Source organism: Homo sapiens, chromosome 8, assembly GCF_000001405.40.
Source record: "Homo sapiens chromosome 8, GRCh38.p14 Primary Assembly".
Classification (NCBI taxonomy): domain Eukaryota; kingdom Metazoa; phylum Chordata; class Mammalia; order Primates; family Hominidae; genus Homo; species Homo sapiens.
Genome location: NC_000008.11, coordinates 116,649,673 through 116,671,460, shown reverse-complemented (window position 1 = coordinate 116,671,460; position 21,788 = coordinate 116,649,673). Strand labels below are relative to the sequence as shown.

At 36.7% G+C, this 21,788-nt stretch overlaps 1 protein-coding gene and 1 long non-coding RNA gene across 9 annotated transcripts in view, besides 4 other annotated features; one reads left to right on the top strand and one right to left on the bottom strand.

The window, feature by feature from the left end:
- Window positions 1-21,788, top strand: part of EIF3H (eukaryotic translation initiation factor 3 subunit H) — a 124,245-nt gene that overhangs the window by 94,914 nt on the left and 7,543 nt on the right. For all 8 annotated transcript variants that reach the window (XM_047422386.1, XM_047422384.1, XM_047422385.1 and 5 more), the window contains 3 exons: window positions 12,481-12,648; window positions 14,147-14,246; window positions 15,456-15,605. In XM_047422386.1, the coding sequence (XP_047278342.1) occupies window positions 12,481-12,648; window positions 14,147-14,246; window positions 15,456-15,605 (418 nt within the window). The remainder of the gene's footprint in view (window positions 1-12,480; window positions 12,649-14,146; window positions 14,247-15,455; window positions 15,606-21,788) is intronic.
- LOC105375713 (uncharacterized) lies at window positions 16,836-19,361 on the bottom strand. Its single transcript, NR_136278.1, has 2 exons — window positions 19,005-19,361; window positions 16,836-17,302 (listed from the first exon to the last, which is right to left on the bottom strand). It is a non-coding gene; the product is annotated as an uncharacterized LOC105375713 (long non-coding RNA).
- Window positions 18,627-18,676: an enhancer, noted in NCBI's record as "active region_27828". NCBI's record gives its function as "activates an Ori minimal core promoter by ATAC-STARR-seq in GM12878 lymphoblastoid cells {active_cell/tissue: GM12878}" and the evidence as "EXISTENCE:reporter gene assay evidence [ECO:0000049][PMID:35858748]".
- Window positions 19,227-19,366: an enhancer, noted in NCBI's record as "active region_27827". NCBI's record gives its function as "activates an Ori minimal core promoter by ATAC-STARR-seq in GM12878 lymphoblastoid cells {active_cell/tissue: GM12878}" and the evidence as "EXISTENCE:reporter gene assay evidence [ECO:0000049][PMID:35858748]".
- Window positions 21,472-21,541: an enhancer, noted in NCBI's record as "active region_27826". NCBI's record gives its function as "activates an Ori minimal core promoter by ATAC-STARR-seq in GM12878 lymphoblastoid cells {active_cell/tissue: GM12878}" and the evidence as "EXISTENCE:reporter gene assay evidence [ECO:0000049][PMID:35858748]".
- Window positions 21,602-21,651: an enhancer, noted in NCBI's record as "active region_27825". NCBI's record gives its function as "activates an Ori minimal core promoter by ATAC-STARR-seq in GM12878 lymphoblastoid cells {active_cell/tissue: GM12878}" and the evidence as "EXISTENCE:reporter gene assay evidence [ECO:0000049][PMID:35858748]".

The following is a 21,788-nucleotide window of genomic DNA, read 5'->3' as shown; positions in this document are numbered from 1 at the left end:
CTGCAAGGAAAAGATGTATATTCTTCAGGGGAAAAGGAAGATTTTGTTGTTGTTAAGATGATATTACCTGGTTTGAGATGCTTTGAAACATTGCAGATACTCTGATTAAACCTAGCTCCCTATGCAGATATTGTTTGGTCTGCCTTTGACACATTCTCAAAAGCCTTGGGATACACTGCTAGCTTAGTATCAGTGGATACTACATTGAACGACAATTTTTGTGCTGCGTTAGGGGATGACAAACAAGCTGAAGCAAGTTTAGGGAAAGTAAAACAAAGATAGTCCTTCCCTAGACAGTTATTTATGCTTTCCTAGATGTTTATTTATTTATAGTCGTACAGTTTATTTCTATCAGTATAGCCCATAGAAGTTAATTCTATTTTAAACATCTGGCAGGAGCCTGTTTGCCAATTGCAGAAGATAATTATTTGATCTGTTTTGTAGCCTTCGGACATCTTTCTGTAGTAATGTTTTTGCCGTCCAATATTTTTTACTTCCGCCTCATATACTGTATTTCACCTTCCTCTAATCCTAGTGGCCCTCCATAGGAAAGTATCTTCATGAGCTTCAGATTACCTAATGGCAGCTGATAAGGCTAATCTCAGTAATGACTTCAAGAGATCTGTGTGTAAAAACTGCAAAAAGTAACAGGATTGTTGGTTGCTTGAAGTTAGTCCCTAGTATGTGACAGTAGAGCTATTTATATCTAAGGTACATTTCTAACATAGGATAAAATTTGTCCTGAGAGTATCAAAAATGTGATAATGTGATATTTTTGCTAGAGACTAACTTTCCCCCAAATTATAAACACGTATTCTTCTCAAATGTAGAAGTCTCTGGTCATATCACCTTGCGGGTAAGGGCATGCACAGCTTTTTCTCTTTCTCCACCCTGGAAAGTAATAGTCTGGATCACAGAGTAGTTAGGTGAAGCCTCCATCCAGCTTCCCTCATCATGCACTTTGTGTTTTTGGTAGGAGAAGGGTAAGGGTAAAAGTCACATTCTATTGGCTGTCCTGCTGAAAGCTGGAGATTTCTCTGAACCCTTGGTCTGTCATTTGTACTTGTCCTGATAGTGTATCTTTGGTGATCTCAGTACTGATCTGTGCTACTTTGTAGCTGCCCCGGAACTGGATTGATAACTGCCTCACACCTAGCCTCACCTCCGCATTCTCCCCACATACTTGTGAGGCAGTGGGAGTTCCAGGAGCACATTTGGTTTGTTCTCCATTGCATCTCAGTACTTGTGACCCTTTTAGATCTTGAGCCCCTTTGAGAATTTGGTGAAAGCTTTGGACTATCTCCATAGTAGTGCGTATGCATATGATTATAGGAAATTCACACATTCCTTGAAATCCCAGGATAAGGATTCCTGGGTTAGATATTGTCATAACAGGAAATGTAACATGGCCCCATTTAAAAATAAACCATAGGTTCCTAACCTCAGATTTGTCGTTTATCATGGGCTGCCATGAAGGTTTCTGCTTGATCATTTTTCTTAGCTTGGAATGCTGTATTTCCTATCCTACGAAAAGTGTTTGGTAGAAGCAGAGTGTGTAGGGAAAGAGGTGAGGAAGTGAGGACAAGAAAGGATGGGTGGAGTGTGTGGTTATAAAAACTTCTATTTTTCTGGTTTAACTAAACCATAGGAAATTGTTTGCTCTTCCTAACCTTTTCTATAACTGCTGTCACTTTCCATTCTTGCCATCTTCCACTTCTTTAGGTTACAGTTAAGGATAGTCTTCAAAAATTATATTCCTCAGGCTTTCTTTTATAATATCTTTGATACTATTTTTTAAAATCCAAATCATCCTGATGTTTGAAGGTAAAGGAAGCTTATCTTTGGGCAGCTGAGGTTGCTGGAGTGGGCCCTTCTCCTAAGCAATACATGGTGTATGATAAAGCTGTTTGCTATATTTAACCTACTTTAGCTATTCACTTGGGTGGGCAGTTTTTTCAGATAGCCTTGTCCCAGTCCCCTGAGTAAGCTGGCATTACTGCTCACTCCTCTTTCCCATCCCCACTGCTCTTCTCAGTGTTTTCCTTTTTTAAAAAAGTCACCTGTTGGGGATAGGGGCAGGAAGCTTATTTCCTCTCTTTGGAAGAGTTATTAATGGAATCAGGAGATAGAAACTTATATGGTACAATGCAATTATATTGTTATATGCACAGTAATAATGGAACACCCAAGATTACCTTTTCTTGAAATCTAATTTCTGTAGCTTGTCTCTTTCTTTATTGAATCTGTTCTTTATTGTACTGAATATAATTAGCTTAGTGTTTTTAGTATCTTAGAAGTATTTTTTTCTCATGGTAGATTGTTTTTTGATCATATTCCTATTTGTACATATGAATTCTGTTTCATGACATGAATGTTAGAAATGCATAGACTTTGATTTTTGTAGTGACACATACAATCTCCAGTCCCCCTCCCCATTTTCCTGATTTCCCCCGTCGCCAATATGGAGATGAGAAAAGGGGAGCTTGCGTAACACTCCATGGAGGCCAAGTTAATCCAATCCAATTCTACACAAACATTTCCTTCTGACCCAGATGAGTATCATAGTACCTGGGTTCTAAGGAACACTTCTGAATAATAGGTGATGGTGGTAAGGGTTTGAGCTCTTCCTGAGGTTTCCAGTGCACCAAGCTTTTGATGCAAATGATTTTGTTCAATCTTAACTGCCTTATGAAGTAGATAGTATTGTGCCCACCCCCCGCTGCCCAGCCCCTACGACCCCCACATTCCCCATGTTTTCTTTTTTGGCAACAGAGGAGGCCAGTCTAGTTAATTTGTCGCCGGTCACACAATTAATGTGTGGTAAAGATGTTATTCAGACCAGGTTAGGTGCTTCAGATTCAGAGTAGTCTGGTACCCTATCCTGCTGCTCCCACAGTTTAGGAGCACTAGTAACCAGGTTATAGGTGACTATGGGAAAATCAGCAAATTGGCAAGCAACAGAAAACTTTTGTCACTATGTATGTATGTATATGTATGTACTTCTTTAACATTGTATGCATTGAATAATTCGTTTGCCAAAGAAACATGGGAAAATGATGATAAGAATAAATAAGAAAGCAAAAACCTTGTATGATCTCACTCTCTGGAGAACAATTCCGTTACCATTTTAGCATATTTCTTTCCAGTCTTTCTCCTTAGGAGGAGAGTGCAGTCCACACTGTTTACATACTGGCATTTATAGATGTTTTATAGTTTTATATTCTGCTTTTTTCTCTTAGCACCTCATGAGCATTTTCCTATGCCATTTAAAATTTTTAGAAATGTTCTAAATGATTTTTGCCTTGAGGAAAACAAAGTCTACTCAGAAGGTAGTTGACTATTATAACCCGAGTGTTGGAGAAGTAGTCACAATTGACGGCTCAAATCCTCTTAACTGAGGGAGAAAATATGGAAGTAGTAGAGTTTGAGGATGGGGTTAATAAACTCAGTCTATACCTTTATGGTGTGTGGTACCTATGGGACTTTTGAAAATGCTCATTAAACAAAAGAGCCCTTGGGCTTGTAGGAAGGTTTTTTAAATTGCCATCATCATGTGTTTGGAAGTTGAAACTATTATTTTCTAGGTGAGGAAATTAAGGCCTAGAGAGACAAATGTGTTGACTACCACCAGTTCATTGGGCAACCTTATTGAAGAGAGTATCTTTTAGAAGATGAGGTCACTATAGCATTATCAGGCTCCTAGTGCAAGCAGTGCCCAGTAAATGGTTTAGGAGCAAAGAAAGTTAAGTGATTCTGTGGGTCATTTATTATCACCACACTTTTGTGTGTACACTACAAACAGTACCTCCAAAAAGTGATCATTTGTTCTCCTTTGAATGTTTAGTGCTCACTTCTGATAGATCTCTTTCTGTTTTGTAAACAAGTGGAGTTTGAAATGTACAGATTGTTTCTGTAAATTTGATTACAGATTGTTTCTGTAAATAGAAGGAAACTATTAATTCATTTTGTTAGCCCCTTAATCTTTTTTTTTTTTTTGTGAAGTTGTACAAACAGTTTTCTGTGTTTAGAAAAGTACTCAGGTCGTTCTCTCCTTGATTTACATTAGAAACTGAGATTTATAGGAAAGGCAAATCAAGCATGATTTTTCTATAACAGAAATGTCTTCTTAAAATAGTTTTCATTGAAGCCCCACATGAAAATTTCATTTTAGGGTTAGGGTAATTTCATTCAGGGTTAAGTACTAGGAAGTGTTTCACCTACTTTAAGATCTGATATTTGTCTCCCTTTGGATATGAATGACCATGTTTTCCTTTTTGCTTTGATTTGGCTTGGAGCCAAATTGTATGTTTTAATCAGAATATCCATGGCCTGATTCACTTTGTTCAAGTCTCTGCCTCTCCTTCAGTTTCTAGTTTCTATATTCTAATTAAGATGTTTTGTAGTTCTGATATTACTTATCACCTTGTATGGTTTAATGCAAGCTACCTCAAGTCCTTTGTGAATGGGGCAGAGCGTGTACACATGCACACAGGTGTATGCACACACACTTATACTTTCCCAGTAGTTGTGACTTTTTTCAAGTATGTTAACAACAATCACGTTTTTTAAATATTCCATTCTTTGGAAATATTTTCAGCACCTCTCTGCTAACATTAATCTAATACCTGGAAATATGACAAGAGGTGTTACTTGTCCTCATGAAAGAGCCTATTACATAGTGTAATTTTTTTTTTTTTTTTTTTTTTTGCCTAACACTAAAGATTCTCATTTGGTCTTCTAACATACCATGCTCTTAATTGTAGCAAGAGGTAGCATTGGTCAGTAAGCTATTCTTTATATGAGAGTTCTTCATGGTGAGCCCTTCCAGGTAAATTCAGTTTGTTTGTATAAACACATCTCAAATGACATAGAATTAACTTCCTGATGGCTCTCTATCTTCCACTATGTGTATGTGTTTTCATGACCAACGCCATAAATGTATATATGTATTTCAGATTGTTATAACCTCAAAGAAATAAGATCTCATGGTTTTATTTCATGATTTGGTTAAGAAGATAATATAAATTTGTTACAGGATGTAAGTGTTATTTTGTGTGAAGAATCCAATTTATTTCATAGAAGACTTCTTGAGACACAGTAAAACCTCAGAATACCTGATTTCTAATAATTGTCAAAGTTCGTACTAGTTTTAAAGATAAAATAGGGCGACAATGCCTGCCCCCACCCTATTCCCATTCCATTATTCCCCAGCTTGGCATTCAAAAAAATATTTTTTCAGAATTCATAAACACTTTAAAGAAGACATTAAACCACCCATTATTTTAAAAAATATTTCTGTAAGATTAAGAAAGGCAGTATTTTTGTTACTTCTTTTACAATACAACAGATTAGTGTCTAGGTAGAATAGAACTTATATTGGACACTTCATTGTGAAAAATTGAACTGTTACTAAAATTTTTAAGCAGTCACAGGGTGGTATTAATAACAGATGTATTAATTGAAACGAGAGGAATATGTGGTACAGATTGGATGCAGAGAATATGGACGTTTTAAGAAACTTGTGTACTCCATAATTCTTTCCACCCAAAGTAGACTCTTATTTAATTCTTTTTTCAAATGCACATTCTGTTTGCCTAAGTCTACATCTGCTAGTAGCTTTGAACATTGCCTGAAACGTATGTGCAGCTTGGCAAAAAGTCTGATATGAAGAGGAAAGCACAGAATAAAGTTTGTCTTGTTAAATAATGGCACAGAGCCTTCACTGTTCACAGCCTAGTGCTCACTGGTGTCCCATGTTGCAGCTGGGAAGGAGGCCTATAATTTTATTCTTAAAAGTCCTACTTTGGTTAGCTCCCATGCCAGAACAGATAGGAGATTTTTATGCATTCCACCTCCCTGTCGTATTTGTTGAAATCATTGGTTTGTTTCTGGGAAATTGTGGGGTTTTGTTTGTTTGCTTGCTTTTTAAGCTATTTGCATCTCCTGATTGAGCTTTGTGGGTTTTTTTTGCTGCAAAGAACATGTACTAGATCTGATCTCTGTTCCATCTATATACCTGTATAGGTCATCTTTGATCTAAGCCAGTATTTAGTTACAAAGTAGTCATGGCACAAGCCTCAAATAGTAACATAGAATGCAGCATTTTAGGGGCTTGATTATGTATTTGTGATAATTATCAACTGTAGTATTTAAAAATCTTTGGTGGTTTTATCACTTAAAATTTTACAGGCATTTATTGGTTTATTATTGGTTAATTTAATGTCAAATATAGACAAGATGTGGTTTCTGGAAACCTAGAAATTTGTTGTGTATTTCTCTTGTATTTGTGCTGTGCTTCAATGATTCAGAAATAATTTACTGTATACTTCACCAATAAGAAGTAATGAGGCTCTCAAAATGGGTGGCTGGCTAGCCTTTGGAGTCAGAGTCTGAAGTAATAGCTGTGGTAAACAGCTTTTCTAAAAGGATTTCAATAATCATGATTAGCTCATTAGAGTTATTGTGAGGAATATAAAGTTAGATAACATATGTGGAACACTTAGCAGGAAGTCTGACATAATAAGTGCTCACTAAGTGGTAATTTCTTTCTCTGTGCCTAGCTCTACTCTTTCCCTACAGGCTGTGTTTATTTTAGAAATAATTTTATTGTATTTTTAAATAATTTGGATTTATTTGATAAAATATTAAGTCATTAAATATTAGATGGTAGATTCTTAAATTGTTTTTAATTTTTAGAATTTAAATGACTTTGTTAATTAAGAGTTCCCTAATAACACATCTGCAAAACACTTCTTTTTTCTTGATCTACTGAACATATCTTGAGTTTTCGAGTTTGAATAAGCTCCATTTTTACTTTTCTACTTTCTCCTCATCCCAGCCTATCCATTGGTGGCAATTCTTTGTTCCTGTTTTTCAGTGAGAAATTGTATTTCACAAGGGCTCACTTAACACAATCAAAAAGATGATTTTTTAAAAATGAGGATGAAGAATTGAAGGTGAGAAGAATGCTGTTTCGTTATTCTGCTGAACTGAAAAGCTTCTACTCTGTTGTCCTTTCCAGTGATCTTCAGGAGCTCTTGAATCTCATACTGTTGTTTGGTTGGTTGCCATTGCAACTTCAGATATATATAACATTTAAATGTAAGACAGCATATTATTTTCAGTGTTTTCATATGTGACAGTAAAACAAGAGAAAGCCCAACAAATGTGGCTGATGTTTGAAAGGGATAGTTGTTGGACAGTCCACCTCAGTGAAGACAGATTTAGCTCTAGGTGCTTTAAAATGGACTGTTTTGCAAAGAGGATATCTGGAAAAACTGAATATGAATATACTGGTGCCAAACTTCAGGCAGTTATTCAGTGTTGTAAAGCAGGCTTTCCTTTGCTTGGGACATGCTTACCAATTAAAACAATTGCAGAAGTTGAAGAGATTTATAAAACTTCTCGTTTTTATAATCCTTCCAAATTTTGCGGCACGAGCTCAACTGCATCCAAGTGTGGCTTTTTGTATTAGTAGTTTGAGTTGGCCTAATAGTAACGACCAGTTTGTCTTTTTTTTTTTTTTTTTTTGAGACTGAGTCTCGCTCTGTCTCCCAGGCTGGAGTGCAGTGGTGTGATCTCAGTTCACTGCAACATCTGCCTCACGGGCTCAAACAATTCTTGCGCCTCAGCCTCTCAAGTAGCTAGGATTACAGGCGCCTGCCACCACGCCTGGCTAATTTTTGTATTTTTAGTAGAGACGAGGTTTCACCATGTCGGCCAGGCTGGTTTCGAACTCCTGACCTCAAGTGATCCACCTGCCTCAGCCTCCCAAAGTGCTGGGATTACAGGCGAGAGCCACGGCGTGCAGCTGACCAGTTTGTCTTTGAAATTTATGTGTTGCATACTACTTTTCCTCAGTGGGGATGTTTGCTTTTTTGTACTAAGAATGCCTAAAAGGTTCTTTTCTACTAAGTCCTTCTCTTAAACATTATGAATTTTAAAATAGTTCTCCCTCCCAAGAGGATTATCCTCTTGCCATTCATCTTTGGGAAATTTCTCCAGGAATATTTAGACATTAACTTAGAAGAGAATGTCATTAGTTGAAATTGCTGTTTTGACTTCCCTTAAATATGAGAACAAAAATTGAAGCTTGTCTAACCCTGGACCAACTCTGCAAAGTTGCCAATCAGTGCCTGTTTCTTCATTGATCTGCATTAACACAGTAGTAGGCAGCTGGCACTTCGAGTCAAGGAGCCTCTTTTTTTCTTTTCCTCCTCCTTTTTCCTTTTGTTTCTTTGAGATGATTCTCTTCCTTCTGAGGTGTGAGCCACTCCTGAGCCTTATTTCTCGAGAGTGAAATACCAAAACTCCAGCCAGAAAAGTGAGGACTGGTTGCATATGAGGAGGCAAATAGCAGGACCTCATAGTCACCAGAGCCTGTGGGCTATGACATGGCATCTTCATCACAAACCAATTCCAGATATGCAGAGGCTTCTTCCCTCCCTCATTTACCTGTTTTGTAGCCAAACTGGGTCTCTTGTGCTCTCCTTACCTACCTACCCAATGTAACTCCTGAGAGAAACTAGCATAGCCACAAAAGCAAGGGTGTTCATCCAGGAGATTGGAATCTGGAAAGACAATTTCTTATTTTCTGTGTAAAACTTAACCAGCATGCCATAATTTCACGATTGTTCCCTTGTCCATAGGCCAAAGGGGTAAATACATGTCAGCTGGTGTGGCAGCTTAGCTCCCTTGATGGTGCCTGCCAGGAGCATGGTTTTCAGACAGGTCACTGGGACAGTTGCTTTTCATTTCGTATTCCTACTTAGGTTTACCAGGAAGCTTTTGCAGGAGTTGGCTTTCTACTTTTTGAAAATTTGGGTGGGAAGGGGAGGATAAACTGTGGGTGAAGGGAGATGGGATTCAAAGAATGGGGACACAGACCTGAAAGTCTACAGAGATAACGCAGTTCATGTGGCTGTTTGTGAGTTGTGTCTCTTGTTCCTTGGCTTATAATAAACAGAAACAGTATTACTTATTATTTTTTTACCTTATTACATCAAAGTGAGCTCTTTTCAAACACTGCATTTGTTGGCGCTTCATAGGAGCAGTCATGGTGAGAACTGGGCCTCTGTGCACTGTGGTTCATTTCGGAGCTCTAGCATCCCCAGCCCCACCTTTTAAGACTCACTTGCAGTTTGTTTAGGTCCTTTCTTTATATGATGCCTCTGAGAGGGCACTTAAAAAAAAAGTTTTGTTTTTAATTTTAAAATTGGGGTGGTAAGTCCAAACCAAGATAGAGAATCTCCTTCACTTTACATAGATTAGGCCCAACACATACATTGTTTATTAGTGAAATTCTAGTGCATTGTATATTTTTAAAGTGATTTTCTTAATTGACCAATCATTGCTCTTTAGCCTCTTTATTTTGATATTTAGGTGATATGAAAACTCTTATGACTTACAAATGTGTCCAAAATCTTGCAAAATCTTTTATGTCATATTCTAAACCATGGAAGAGGAAATGGAAATGCTCCCCTCATTTCCCCTAATAAAGAAGCTGATCTCTCTTTACTCCTCAGTCCCCAGAAATATGTTGGAGGAGTGGTATCTCCACACGGCTATAGGCTTTCTTGACTTTCTTCCCTAGTTTAGAGGAACGTTTCATTTTCATTCTTACCCTTATCAGAGGTGCTGTAGAATAGGTAAGACTCTGGATAAAGAAGAAATTTGGAAGTTTGCTATGGATCTTGGAGTTTTTTACCTTGTGTATCCTGAAATGCTGTTAGAGAATCTCTTGTATTCAGGCTATTTGAGGACAGACTTAGCAAGATTACAGAATATTTTTCAGAGGAATGTATTTTTATTTTAAATCATAATGCATGCTGGAGGCCCCTTTAGCTAATAGAAAATTCTTTATTTATAATTAGTATGTCCAGTGAACAATGTGGAATAATAGCGTTTTGACTGGGATTGGGTTCTCAGATCTCTTTGGAGATGGGAAAATTAAATATCAAAGAAGAATTATTAACTGTACAGCAAGATCCCCACAGGGGAAATCTCAGAGCTGGCATGAGAACCTCGACCTCTAGATTCCAAGTCTTTCTTTTCTGCTATTATAAGTTGGCAGACTCCAACCTCTTCTTATATTGTAGCTAAATTTTATACTAATACGTTGCATAAGTTTTGATTTAAAAATAATGTTTTTTAAAATCTTACTCGTTCTGTCAGTTGCTTAATCTCTCCTCTTCCCTTTCCCTTTAAAATAAATAGCAAATTCAGTTTCAGCTCCCATTTTACTTATAATACTGGGACTTTTCACTCATAAATTAAATTTGATTAAAATTTATTAGCCAAATCAGTGATTTTACTTTGATTTAAAAGAATTATGGAATTTCGAAACAGAAGGAGATCATAGCAGTGATTCTATCCCACTTGCCAAATTTATGTGGTTGATGTGAATCTGTTAAACTAGCTGGGGGGAGGTGAGGTTCCTCTTACATGCTAGAGAAATAAAATATGAAGATAAAAAATAATTGGTGTAAGATTATCATATTTCATACTGCTTTTTCGGCTGTCATATTGTGTATAAAATAGGTTTCTAAGGTAGTGATGTTTTTAATGGTGGTTTAGAGTATAGCATAGGTTATATGACTTTGATTTTGTATTTTATTCATAAATATACAGAAACACTGGTTTGGTATACAAAGTGTCTGGTGTCTGGTATCTGGTGTCTGGTGTCTGGTATCACCTTCTCCCCCATACCCTTAGTAGCCTAACTTCCTCTATATTAACACTTTTTTTCCTTTTTATGAATAAATGAGCCCACTTTCAAAACAGGCACTTAAACTGTACATCTTTACAGTAGTGCAGTTTCCAGCTCTGTTGCAACATTGCCGTAGGCTTAAGAAAGTCTCTTCAGATAGTGGCAAAATAACTTTGGTTGTTTTTGTTTGTTTGTTTAGCTTTTCTACATAGCAAAAAAAAAATCTCAAAAAACACGCAATTCTTGTGTAGTTGATGAGTTGGCTGCCATCTTTTAGCATGAGAACTGTAACCTTCCTTGGAATAAGCAGATTTATAACTTCTTCTCCTACAAGTAATGAAAAATCAGACTGTGTCCATCTGAGGAACACTCTTTTATACTTTATGATCCTGAGTCTTGTAGGCTTTGTAAAACCATAGTGGTATAACCAAAAGAATGACAGATATATAACTTTTCTTTTGCTAAAACCTGAGTAAGAATTTTGAAAATGAAACAGGTTTCAAGTTAAGCAAATACGTTTACTCAGCATGGTCATGTATTCATTATAATAGAAATAGTTTGGGGCTGGATGCAGTGGCTCATGCCTGCAATCCCAACACTTTGGGAGGCCGAGGTGGGTGGATTCTTTGATCCTAGGAGTACGAGACCAGGCTGGGCAACATGGTGAAACCCCATCTCTACAAAAAAACAATACAAAAATTAGCCGGGTGCGGTGGTTCACACCTGTAGTCCCAGCTACTTGGGAGGCTAAATCAAAAGAATCACTTGAGCCCGGGAGGCAGAGGTTGCAGTGAGCCAAGATCAGGCCATTGTACTCCAGCCTGGGCAATGGGAGTGAAACCCTGTGTCAATAATAATAATAATAAATAATAATAGAAATAGCATGGCTATTATGTTGACTATAAAGTTTTCTCCTGTATTATATATTTGCTGTGCATTATTGTGCTATATTGCTTTTTAAAATGTCGTTTATTATATTGCTAGTTTTAATCTGTTTTTCTGGTAATACTGCTTTAATATAGTATACATTATAGTCATTACTATACTTTGTAGTCATTAATTTGACAAAAGTAAAAGTCACTAAACCTTTTCATTCTATACATGGTCATTAAAATATAACTTTATTCTAAGGAAAACATAGTATCTGTTACTTAAAGGAACACACAGACAAGAAAAAATAATTCTTTAAAAAATTTAGCATATGCAGCAGGGGGCACCAGATGAAGGCAAAAATGTACTCTTACATTTTGAATCAGCTACAGCCTGTATCCTCTTCATATATAAGCAGTGTGGTTGGTAGTTGTTTCTCCTTAGTTTTCCTAATGGTTTTAGTTTCTCAGCTCTAAAAGCTGTGTTGAAGAAGAGATTGATAACTCTTCCTCTTTTATTAATTCAAATGAAACTTCTTACAACCAACCAATTTAGTAATTACACAAATTTTTCTTAAACATTTACTATTTTGAGAGTTTCAAAAAGGGGAGTTAGACGCCACATTTAATAATTCTTTGGTTAGAACAAGGTATTAATATTGTGTGTAATACATTTTCTACAAAATATTTTTTCATTAAAGAATAAAAGGAAACCCCTGATGATTTAAAAGCCTAATTTTGTTTTGCTTTATATGTGAACTGAATGAATTTTAAATCTGGAATCCTGTTCCCTATTGCTAATAAATTGTTATGTAGACATTTGTTTCCAAAACGGCTTGTTTTTGATGTTGGTAACATCATTAAAAAGTTTTTTCTTTTAATTTCCTCTTCCCCATCATCCAGTCCAATATCAGATGGAAATGATGCGGAGCCTTCGCCATGTAAACATTGATCATCTTCACGTGGGCTGGTATCAGTCCACATACTATGGCTCATTCGTTACCCGGGCACTCCTGGACTCTCAGTTTAGTTACCAGCATGCCATTGAAGAATCTGTCGTTCTCATTTATGGTTAGTAGGAGGTTTATTATTCTTTTTTCCCTTAATATTATTACTACTATTTTTGCTTTCTGTCCTTTTTGCCTCTAAGAGCAGTCTGGCAGGCCTTCTCAAGTAAATACCAACCCTGTTTCTGCAGCAGCCTCAGCAGCAGCTCAGTCTAGACAGGGTTTCCTTCTTTCTGTTTATTTTTCTTGCTATCAGAGCCCTGATGTGTACATTTTGGAATGCTGGAGTAGCTGCTTCATTTCTATTCCTCCATCTCCCCTCCCTCATTGAAGGGGCTGGTGGAACTAGACCAGATGTCTAACAAACCCCGATTGCTAGAGTGTCTGGCTCTGTACGTGACTGACCAATCATAATACGGTGTGCCAAGTTTTTTTTATACCTCTGACAACAGCGTACAAAACCTGGACTGTTTCTTAGCACAAAGATTTTTTTCTTTTCGGCCTATTTAATGGTGTTTCCTCAAGCTCTCCAGACCAGATGTTCTGTGCTGTATCAGAACTGTAGGCAATTTAACAGCTTTATAGCCTTCCCCCTCCCCAAACACTCACAGTTTGCCATATCTGGCAGACTTGCATATAGTTTCCAGCTGAGAAGTAAATGTAACGTCCTGAGTATCTGTCAGAAAAAATACTAATGAATACGATCAATCTTATGAGCTGCCCCAAAATTGTTTCAGTATGTTAACAATTGGATTACAGTAAAGAACAAGTTGTTAAAGTATACTTATATTGGCTGGAAACATTGCATCATCAGACCTTGATGAATTTTCCACTTGTTTCAATCTATTTTGGTTTTCATTTTATCACCTATTGCTAAAAGTTTCACTGTGTTAAGTTTCAGACAACATGAATGTTAACACAGGTTTTAGGCGAATATTGGCATGCCAGAGCCGTTATCATGCAGCAAGTGCTAAGCTCCCTTACTCATGGAGTGTTTCAGCGGTTAGCTTTGACAAAATTAGTTTCTCCAAAACCAGAAAGACACTTTTGTGATAGCAGTTTGACTTGAATGGTTTTGTTTTTACAATCTGTTTTAACGAAGAAATGTGAACAGTGATTATTAGGATTGATAAATTTTGTGTGCGGGGCTATTCATTTTAAGTTGAATGAGGAGCTACCCAAGTACATGCAGTGAATTTTCATGTTTAATATTTATCAGTGATTTCCTAATTATACAATATGTCTAGAACATATGATACATTTAATTTTCAGCAAGGTTACTAGTTCTTGCTGAGGAATGAATTTGAAAATAACTCTTTTGCATCTTTAGTTTTTGACAGAGGAAATTACTCTATTGTAAGTAGGATAGAGGTATTCCTGCATTTTCAAGTGCTATTTGCAATAGTGCTTTGAGTCTGCTTCAAGTTGTGTTCTGGTTGTTTATTTTGATCTTTATTTTGCAAAGATTGTGCGATATGTAACAGAATGTGCCTAGAACCAATGCCATTCAAGCCTGGCAGTGACAAAATTCTTAGTAATTTATTTCTCTTTCCTTGTTTGAGATCCCATAAAAACTGCCCAAGGATCTCTCTCACTAAAGGCATACAGACTGACTCCTAAACTGATGGAAGTTTGTAAAGAAAAGGATTTTTCCCCTGAAGCGTAAGTGTTTGGGGGCATCTGGTAAAGGGTTGGGTATTTTTCTGTTAAGATTTTTCTTTGCCACATCTCTTGAATCCTTGGTTGTGGTGTGGTAATGCTTTTGCCATGTGGACTGTAGAAGTTTTCTGCATGCCGAGTGCTGCTTGCTCTCTCCCTTTCCATGTTTAAATTATTCTTTAGGGAATATCTCATCTGTTGTTCTCACCAAGGGTGAATTCAGTTAGAATGGGAATTAATTAGCTACTGGATTCGAAGAAATAAATGATTGAATAAAGGGAGGTGGAAAGAGTGATCAGTGGCTGTCAGATTGTAAGCTCTGTGTCAGACTGGTTGTGAGCTGTGTGTCTTATTTTCCGAACCCTTGTTTAATGAGGGGGTGGGAAAGATATAAACATTTTAAGAATTTGGTAAAGAATGTGGCTTATTGGAAATTTTATGGGTGACAGTTATGCAGAGAATTAACTGATGGAGCTGTTTTGGGATCCTATTTAATGGCATTGTAATATTTACTTTAAATAAATTAAATACTTAGAATTCTTCCATTTTCTGTTAATTATAGAAATTTTTAGTTCTTATTGAATCAAAATTAATGGTTTTGACTTCATGTAGGACGGTTCTTCTCTAGTTTCCCATTTGGCTCCTAAAAAGTTAAGGTGCAGAGAATTTTAAAAGAAAAGCTAACTCATGAACAATTCCTGGATGTGGTGGTTATAACTAATCTATGAGAAACTGTGTTCTTGGCATGTTCTAACTATTGTATCTGGAGTCTCCTTGTGTTCTGCTACTTGTTAAACTCTAATTCAAGAGGCTTTTTAAATGAACTTTTCAAGAAATAGAGTATTTCTCATTTCTAGCTATTTTAAATTAAGTTGTAGGTGTAGGTTGTGTAGCATAACTTACTGTGACATTTACATTTTAGTATCAGTGAAATTTTAAAGATACCTGATAACAAAGAATGAGTAGTTTCTTCTGCCAAGAATCTCATTTTCTGGGCTTTAGCTCAAATTCGCATCATTTTCAAAGTTACTCAAATCACTCAACTTATGCTTGACTCTGTAAAACTCCAGTTTCTCTACTTTTTTTTTTTTTAAGAGTGCTAATGAAACAAAGATCTTGGATAGGGCCTGTAATTAGGTAAATTTTATGAAGTAGTCAGTTTAGCACTTACTTTTGACCATCAGACTAAAGTATTTTTAACATGCTTCACAGATTGAAAAAAGCAAATATCACCTTTGAGTACATGTTTGAAGAAGTGCCGATTGTAATTAAAAATTCACATCTGATCAATGTCCTAATGTGGGAACTTGAAAAGAAGTCAGCTGTTGCAGATAAACATGAATTGCTCAGCCTTGCCAGCAGGTAAGTGGCCCTGCCTAATGAAAAGCCCATGTTTTAGAACTTTTTGCAAAAGATTCTTTCACATAAACTTTACCTGTGAAACAAGAAAACAGTTACTTAAGAACGTTTATAGGTTCTTAAAACATGTATAACATGGAGTAATAGTCTGGCCCTGTTAGGATGTCAGGGAAAAACGCCAAACTGATAACATGAAACAACACATTATTTGAATACTAATTGCTCATATTAGAAGAACCCTCTGCTGCCTTCTTTGCTGTATCATTTGTGCTTTGATAAGGTCAGTGCCCAAGAGGGAGGGCTTTTTTATATGGCTCAGCTTTATTTCTTGTACACGATCCTAAGAGGCTTAGGGTATTAGGTCTGGATATTTAATAATGCTCAGGAAAAGAACAGAAATGCTTTTTTCTTTTACTGGTTGTACTTACCCTTGTTCAGATGCAGACTCTTGCAGTTGTAAAATTACAGTTGTTTGAGTTTTCAACTAAAATTTGAATTTTCTGAACCTGACATTGGCTTCACCTATTTTAGTTGGTGATAACGATTTCCTCCACCGTGACTGCCTTAGCTATCTAGTTGCTGAGATAATGTTTATTATATTTGTAAAATGCAGATTGAGGTTTCCAAAAGGAAGTATTGTTCCCTTTGTTAAATTAATGTTTATTTCCCCCTCATCTATTACTCTTAACAGAAATGTGAATAGAGCCACATGTATAGCTCCTCTTAAATGCCCTTTGAGCGTTATGTTAGTGATTATTTTGTCTGTGGTGGAAGGAGGCTAGCAGCAGACTTGTGGAATGAAATTAAATGGTCAGAGTAGGTAAAGAATCAATATATGCTTGTTGGCTGAAAGAAACAAGGTGTGTTTTCTTAAGCAACCAGTTTGGAGCAGACTAAATTATTTATCAGATTTCTAGTTATCTTAGATAGAGACTTGTTAAAAAAAAAAAAGTGTACAGACTTTGTACTTCCTCGATATAAGGCAAGTGGGATGAACCCAGAAGGGCCAGAGACATCAATGTTCTTCTCTATGCTCTGGCACGGGTAGGACTGTGGTTGAAGCGCCGCCTTCCATTGCGTTAATTGATCACAAAGGCCACTAGAAAGTCTTAACGGGGCAGGGAGATGGACGATGAATGTAAATGGAGTGCTCAGTAACACAGCCAGGTTGCAAGGCTAATTTGGCACCAAAAAGCATACTGTTTGACTGCAAACATATATTCATAATAGTCCTTTAATTTGTCTGTTTTAGAAGGTCATATTTTTCTTTATTGCTTTTACAAACACATTGGGCACACCTGTATTTAAAGCATTTAGCTAAGAACCTTTTTCAGCATACAAGGTTACAATTTGATGTATTAAGTATATAGTTATATAATACTTTTAAATTTACTGCATGAAAGCTTTTGCTTACATAATTCATGTCTTCACCTTTTCCCAGGCTGCCTTTATTGAGCATACAAAAGAAATACATCCCTGATGGTGCTTTAACATTACCAATGAGCTGGTCTATAATGTCCATTTGTCCAAAGCAGCATTTATAATAGCCAAGAAAATGTTCTCAGTTTGCCCTAGCAACTGAGACCTAGACAAATATTTTATTATAGTTTTTGTCTTCTGTATTTTTACGTAAATGAGGAAAAAGAGGTCCCATTTCTTTGCTTTCCATATGAAGTTATTTAAAGTGTAAATTGGTGTTCCTGTTAGGAGGAAAAAAAATGAAGCAACTTTGAAGCAGTGCTTTTTTGCTAGTAGACACTTACATTGAACCAAATCGACCATACTATTTTAAAAGACAGAAAGATAAGTTTTGTACATCTCAATTTTTAATTTCTGACAGTAATTGTGTGATGATGGCTCAGGCCAGTTGCCATAAAAGTTTGTATAAGAAACCCCATCAGAAATAATTCTTATGCAGGTGCTTAAACTTGGTCTTTCCTTTCACAGCCTATAGACATGGGCACCAGTTTCTTTGATGTGCCTGATAAGTTTGTTCTCTGCGACGACTAAAACATACTGTATTTGCTTTTGTTGAAAAATTCAAATTTTTTTATTTTAATTTTATTAGATGGAAGTTCTAGTAATAGTTATTCCATAACAGCCTTTATTAGTTTTTAAAAATGTGTATCACAGGCGTTCAGCTTTTCACACATGTAAAACAATTCTGTTTTTATTTCCTCTTTTAAAAAAAGTAAACTAAGGGTGGGCATCATACATTAAGGATTATAAGCATAAATTGATACTGTAGCCAGAGCAGACTTAACACTTCATGTCCTGGTTCACATCTGTTTATCTGTTTTCAGTTCTTTATTTGCTTGGCAATAAAAGAAAAGGCAATGTTACTGAAACTCCTAACAATAAGTCCCTGTTTCAGCATCCTAGTTAAACTGGTACTGAAAAGATTCCCACAAAATTGGTCTTGGTAGTGGTCTGATTTTCTGTCATTGTTAATTTCTGATGCCCTTTTAAGGCCTGTAGTACACAGATTGTGTGTGTGTGTGTGTGTGTGTTTCTGATTGTTTTTTTTCTGAAGAGCATTATCATAATATAAAAGTTATGAAATGCTTAAAGTCCACATATTTGTGCTTGTAGCAGTGTTCTTTCACAATAACTTCATATACTTGCAGCAGATAATATTAGTACTTTATATTAAAGACTTTTCTGGTAGAAACAGTGGGTCTGTTTTAGTAGTGCCTTTCTCATTACTGTAAACAACCTCCAAGATTTAAGGTCTAGGTGTATTTTCTCTGCATATGGCAGTACCTCTCCTGTGCTGTTATTTTTTCCCTACTGTCACTGCTTTCCCCTTAACCTCCCAGCCACAGCATTGGTGATGATCTTTTCTTTCTCTGATTTCCTTTTGCAATTAATGACATAAATGACTTAACAACTAATCATGTAGCTAACGACATTTCCTATACTTAGTATAGCCCTTTGGGCTTCAGGTTGCTCACTGGTAAAAATGAAAGGATCAGAAACCTGAAGCTAGTGCCTCCTGTCTTCTTGCCTTCTCAGGACCTCATTAGGTTGATCTACTCCTTCCTTCTTCATAGATTTTCAGTTTCTTTCTATACTAGTTTTTTTTTTTCAATCTTTATAGGCTCATTTTTCCAATTAAAAATTTATGTTTAAATTTTCAACTCTTTAGACAATTTGAAAGAAAAATACAGTGAACATCCATCCATAAACCTTTCATTTAGATTCACCAATTGTATATCATGCCACATTTGCACTCTATCTACGTACGTAAACACTTTTTCTTTCTGAACCATCTGAAAGTAAATTGTAGACATGACTTTTAACCCCTAAATACTTCTAAAATGCGTGCATCTCCTAAAAACAAAGACATTTAAACTTGTTTACATCCCCCCATCTCAAAAGAAAAACTTATGAAAAGAATACCTTTTAATCTCATGCCTTTAGTATCCATCTCCTTTTGTCTTCTGCTAAATTTTTCTATTTGTTTCATAATCAAACTTCTCGATAGAATTTTGATGTCACTGTTTCCTCATTTCCCACTGATTTCCCAGTGATTGTCAACAGTTTGTGGTGTTCCACCCATTATATGTAGTAAGACCTCCCTCCAAAGTCACAGAAGACTTTGATGTCACTATGTCACTGAGTATTTTAGACTCTTCAGCATGTAATATGTTGATAAGGCCTTCTTCCTGAGATCCTTTCCTAGGAGCCTGTGAAACTATAGCTCTTCTGGGTTTCCTCTCATTCTCCACAGTGAACCCCCTCTTGTGCTCATCTCTGTCCGTGTTCCTCAGGGTCTGTCTTCTCACACATGTACTCGTGGGGCGATTTTGTCTTACTCCTGTGACTTACTGCCTTAGTCTAGGACCTTATTTCTCTTCCTCATTACTTTCACAGCTTCCTCACTTCCTGTTTTTTGACCTTTTCCTCTTTCAAAATTGTAATGATCTTGCTAAATGCAAATTAGATGCTCATATTACTCCTTTGCTTAAAATCTTTAGCTGGTTTCCCACTGTCCTTAGGACAGATTCCAGACTTGTAGTATGTTTTTAAGTCATTGCACTTTGACCGTTGTCTGCCTCTCTTTTCCTCAGTCTTGCCCAATTCTAATACTTAAGTCGGAGTGAATTTAAATCAACTATTTAGAAATTAGGGTAAAACAGAAGCAAATACATTGTATCCAGAGAAGAAGAAATGTTTTGAAGTTAAAAGTGATTTAAAAAATTACAACACAACAAAATAAATATGAAAGAAGCACTTGATTCCTCAGCAGGTGAAGTCATCAGACCATGTTACTGGACCAAGGTTATCTAGGTAGTGCCAGGCTGGGATTAAAAGATAAATTTACTCACATACACCTTAGTTCTATGCTCCTTCCATTATTTGAGAAAGAGCCAAAACTTCCTGATTTTCTTGAGGTTACTGATAGAATCCATATTTTAGTTGGATTTATTTTTATTCATTCTCAATATTCCCAACCTGTTTCCTTCTCAGTCTTTCCCTTCTCTGTAAATGTAGTAACCAGCTGCCAGAAGACTGGGAGTCACCCTCCATTCCTCTCTGATGCCTCCTATCAAATAAAGATTGCCTGCTCTGCCTCCAGAATCTCTCTCATTTCTGCTCACTTTTCTCTATGCTCTGCCACCATCCTAGTTCAAGTCACCACAATTTCTCTCTGTAATATCACGATAGATTATTTGCTGGAGGTGCAGTTTTTAATATAGAGAAAAAATTGACCATTTAAACCCTTTTCAGATGTACACTTTAGTCATTTTTAGTATATTCACAATGTTTTACAACCATTACTAGCTCTAGAACATTCTCATCACCCTGAACGGGAACCCAAACCCATTAAGCTGTCATTCCTATTCCCCTAACCCCTGGCAGCCTCTAGTCACTTTCTATCTCTACAGATTTGCCTATTCTGGATATTTTATAAAATGGAGTCCTGGCCAGGAACAGTGGCTCATGGCTGTAATCCCAACACTTTGGGAAGCCGAGGTGGGAGGATCTCTTGAGGTCAGGAGTTCTGGCAAAACCCTGTCTCTATTGAAAATACAAAAAATCCAGCCAGGTGTGGTGGCGCATGCCTGTAGTCCCAGCTACTCGAGAGGCTGAGGCACAAGAATTGCTTGAACCCGGGAGGTGGAGGTCGCCCCACTGCACCAGCCTGGATGATGAGTGAAACTCTGTCTCAAAAAAAAGAAAAGAGTCCTACAATAAGCAGCCTTTTGTGTCTACCTTCTTTCCCTTAGCAAATGTTTTCAAGGTTCATCCATGTTGTGGGGTATATCAGAACTTTATTCATGTTTAAGGCCAAATAACATTCTACTGTATGGATATATAATATTTTATTTATCTATTCATCATTTGATGGAATTTTAGATTGTTTTTAGTTTTTGGCTATTAAGAATAATGTAGCTATTAACATACATGTATGAGTTTTTGTGTGAGTATATATTTTTAATTCCCTAGGGTATAAACATATTCATAGGGTATATTCATAAGAGTGGAATTGCTGGGTTATATGGTAATTTGGTTTAGCTTTTTGAGGAACCACCAAACTGTTTTCCACAGCAGCTGTATCACTTTACCTTCCCTCCCAGTGTATGAGTGTTTTCATTTTTCCACATCCTCGCCAACACCCCACAGTAGACTTTTAACTAACCTCCTGGTTTCTCCTCTCCAGTCTATTTGCATAGCAGCAGAATGATCATTTTAAAATTTAAGCAAAATGTGTCATAAACATGCACAACTCCAGGATATCATTCACATTGCAGTTGTGAGGTCTCATTCACAACAAACTACATTGCTGGGGAGTTGTATGGTGCTAGTGAGCTTCCTACATGTGCTTGTCTGGTCTGCCTGACCTAATCCCTGTGCTCTAGCCATGCCAGGCCTCTTGTGTCATCAAATCTGCCTAATTCTTGCCCATCTCAGGCATTCAGTACTTGTATTTTCTTTTGCCTACAATATTTTTGGCATAGCTGACTCATCTTTCACTTTCAGTCTGTCATCTCCTCAAAGAGATACTCTGATCATGCTATCTAAAGTAAGTGTCTCTTCACCTCCCCCTTCTCTTTCTCCTCCATCCCTAATCAGTTATAAGATCAATGAAGATATAGAACATGTATGTCTTATTCACTGTTGTCTCCCTGTTTTCTAGTACTAAGGCTGGCACATAATAGGAGTTTAGTAAATACCTGT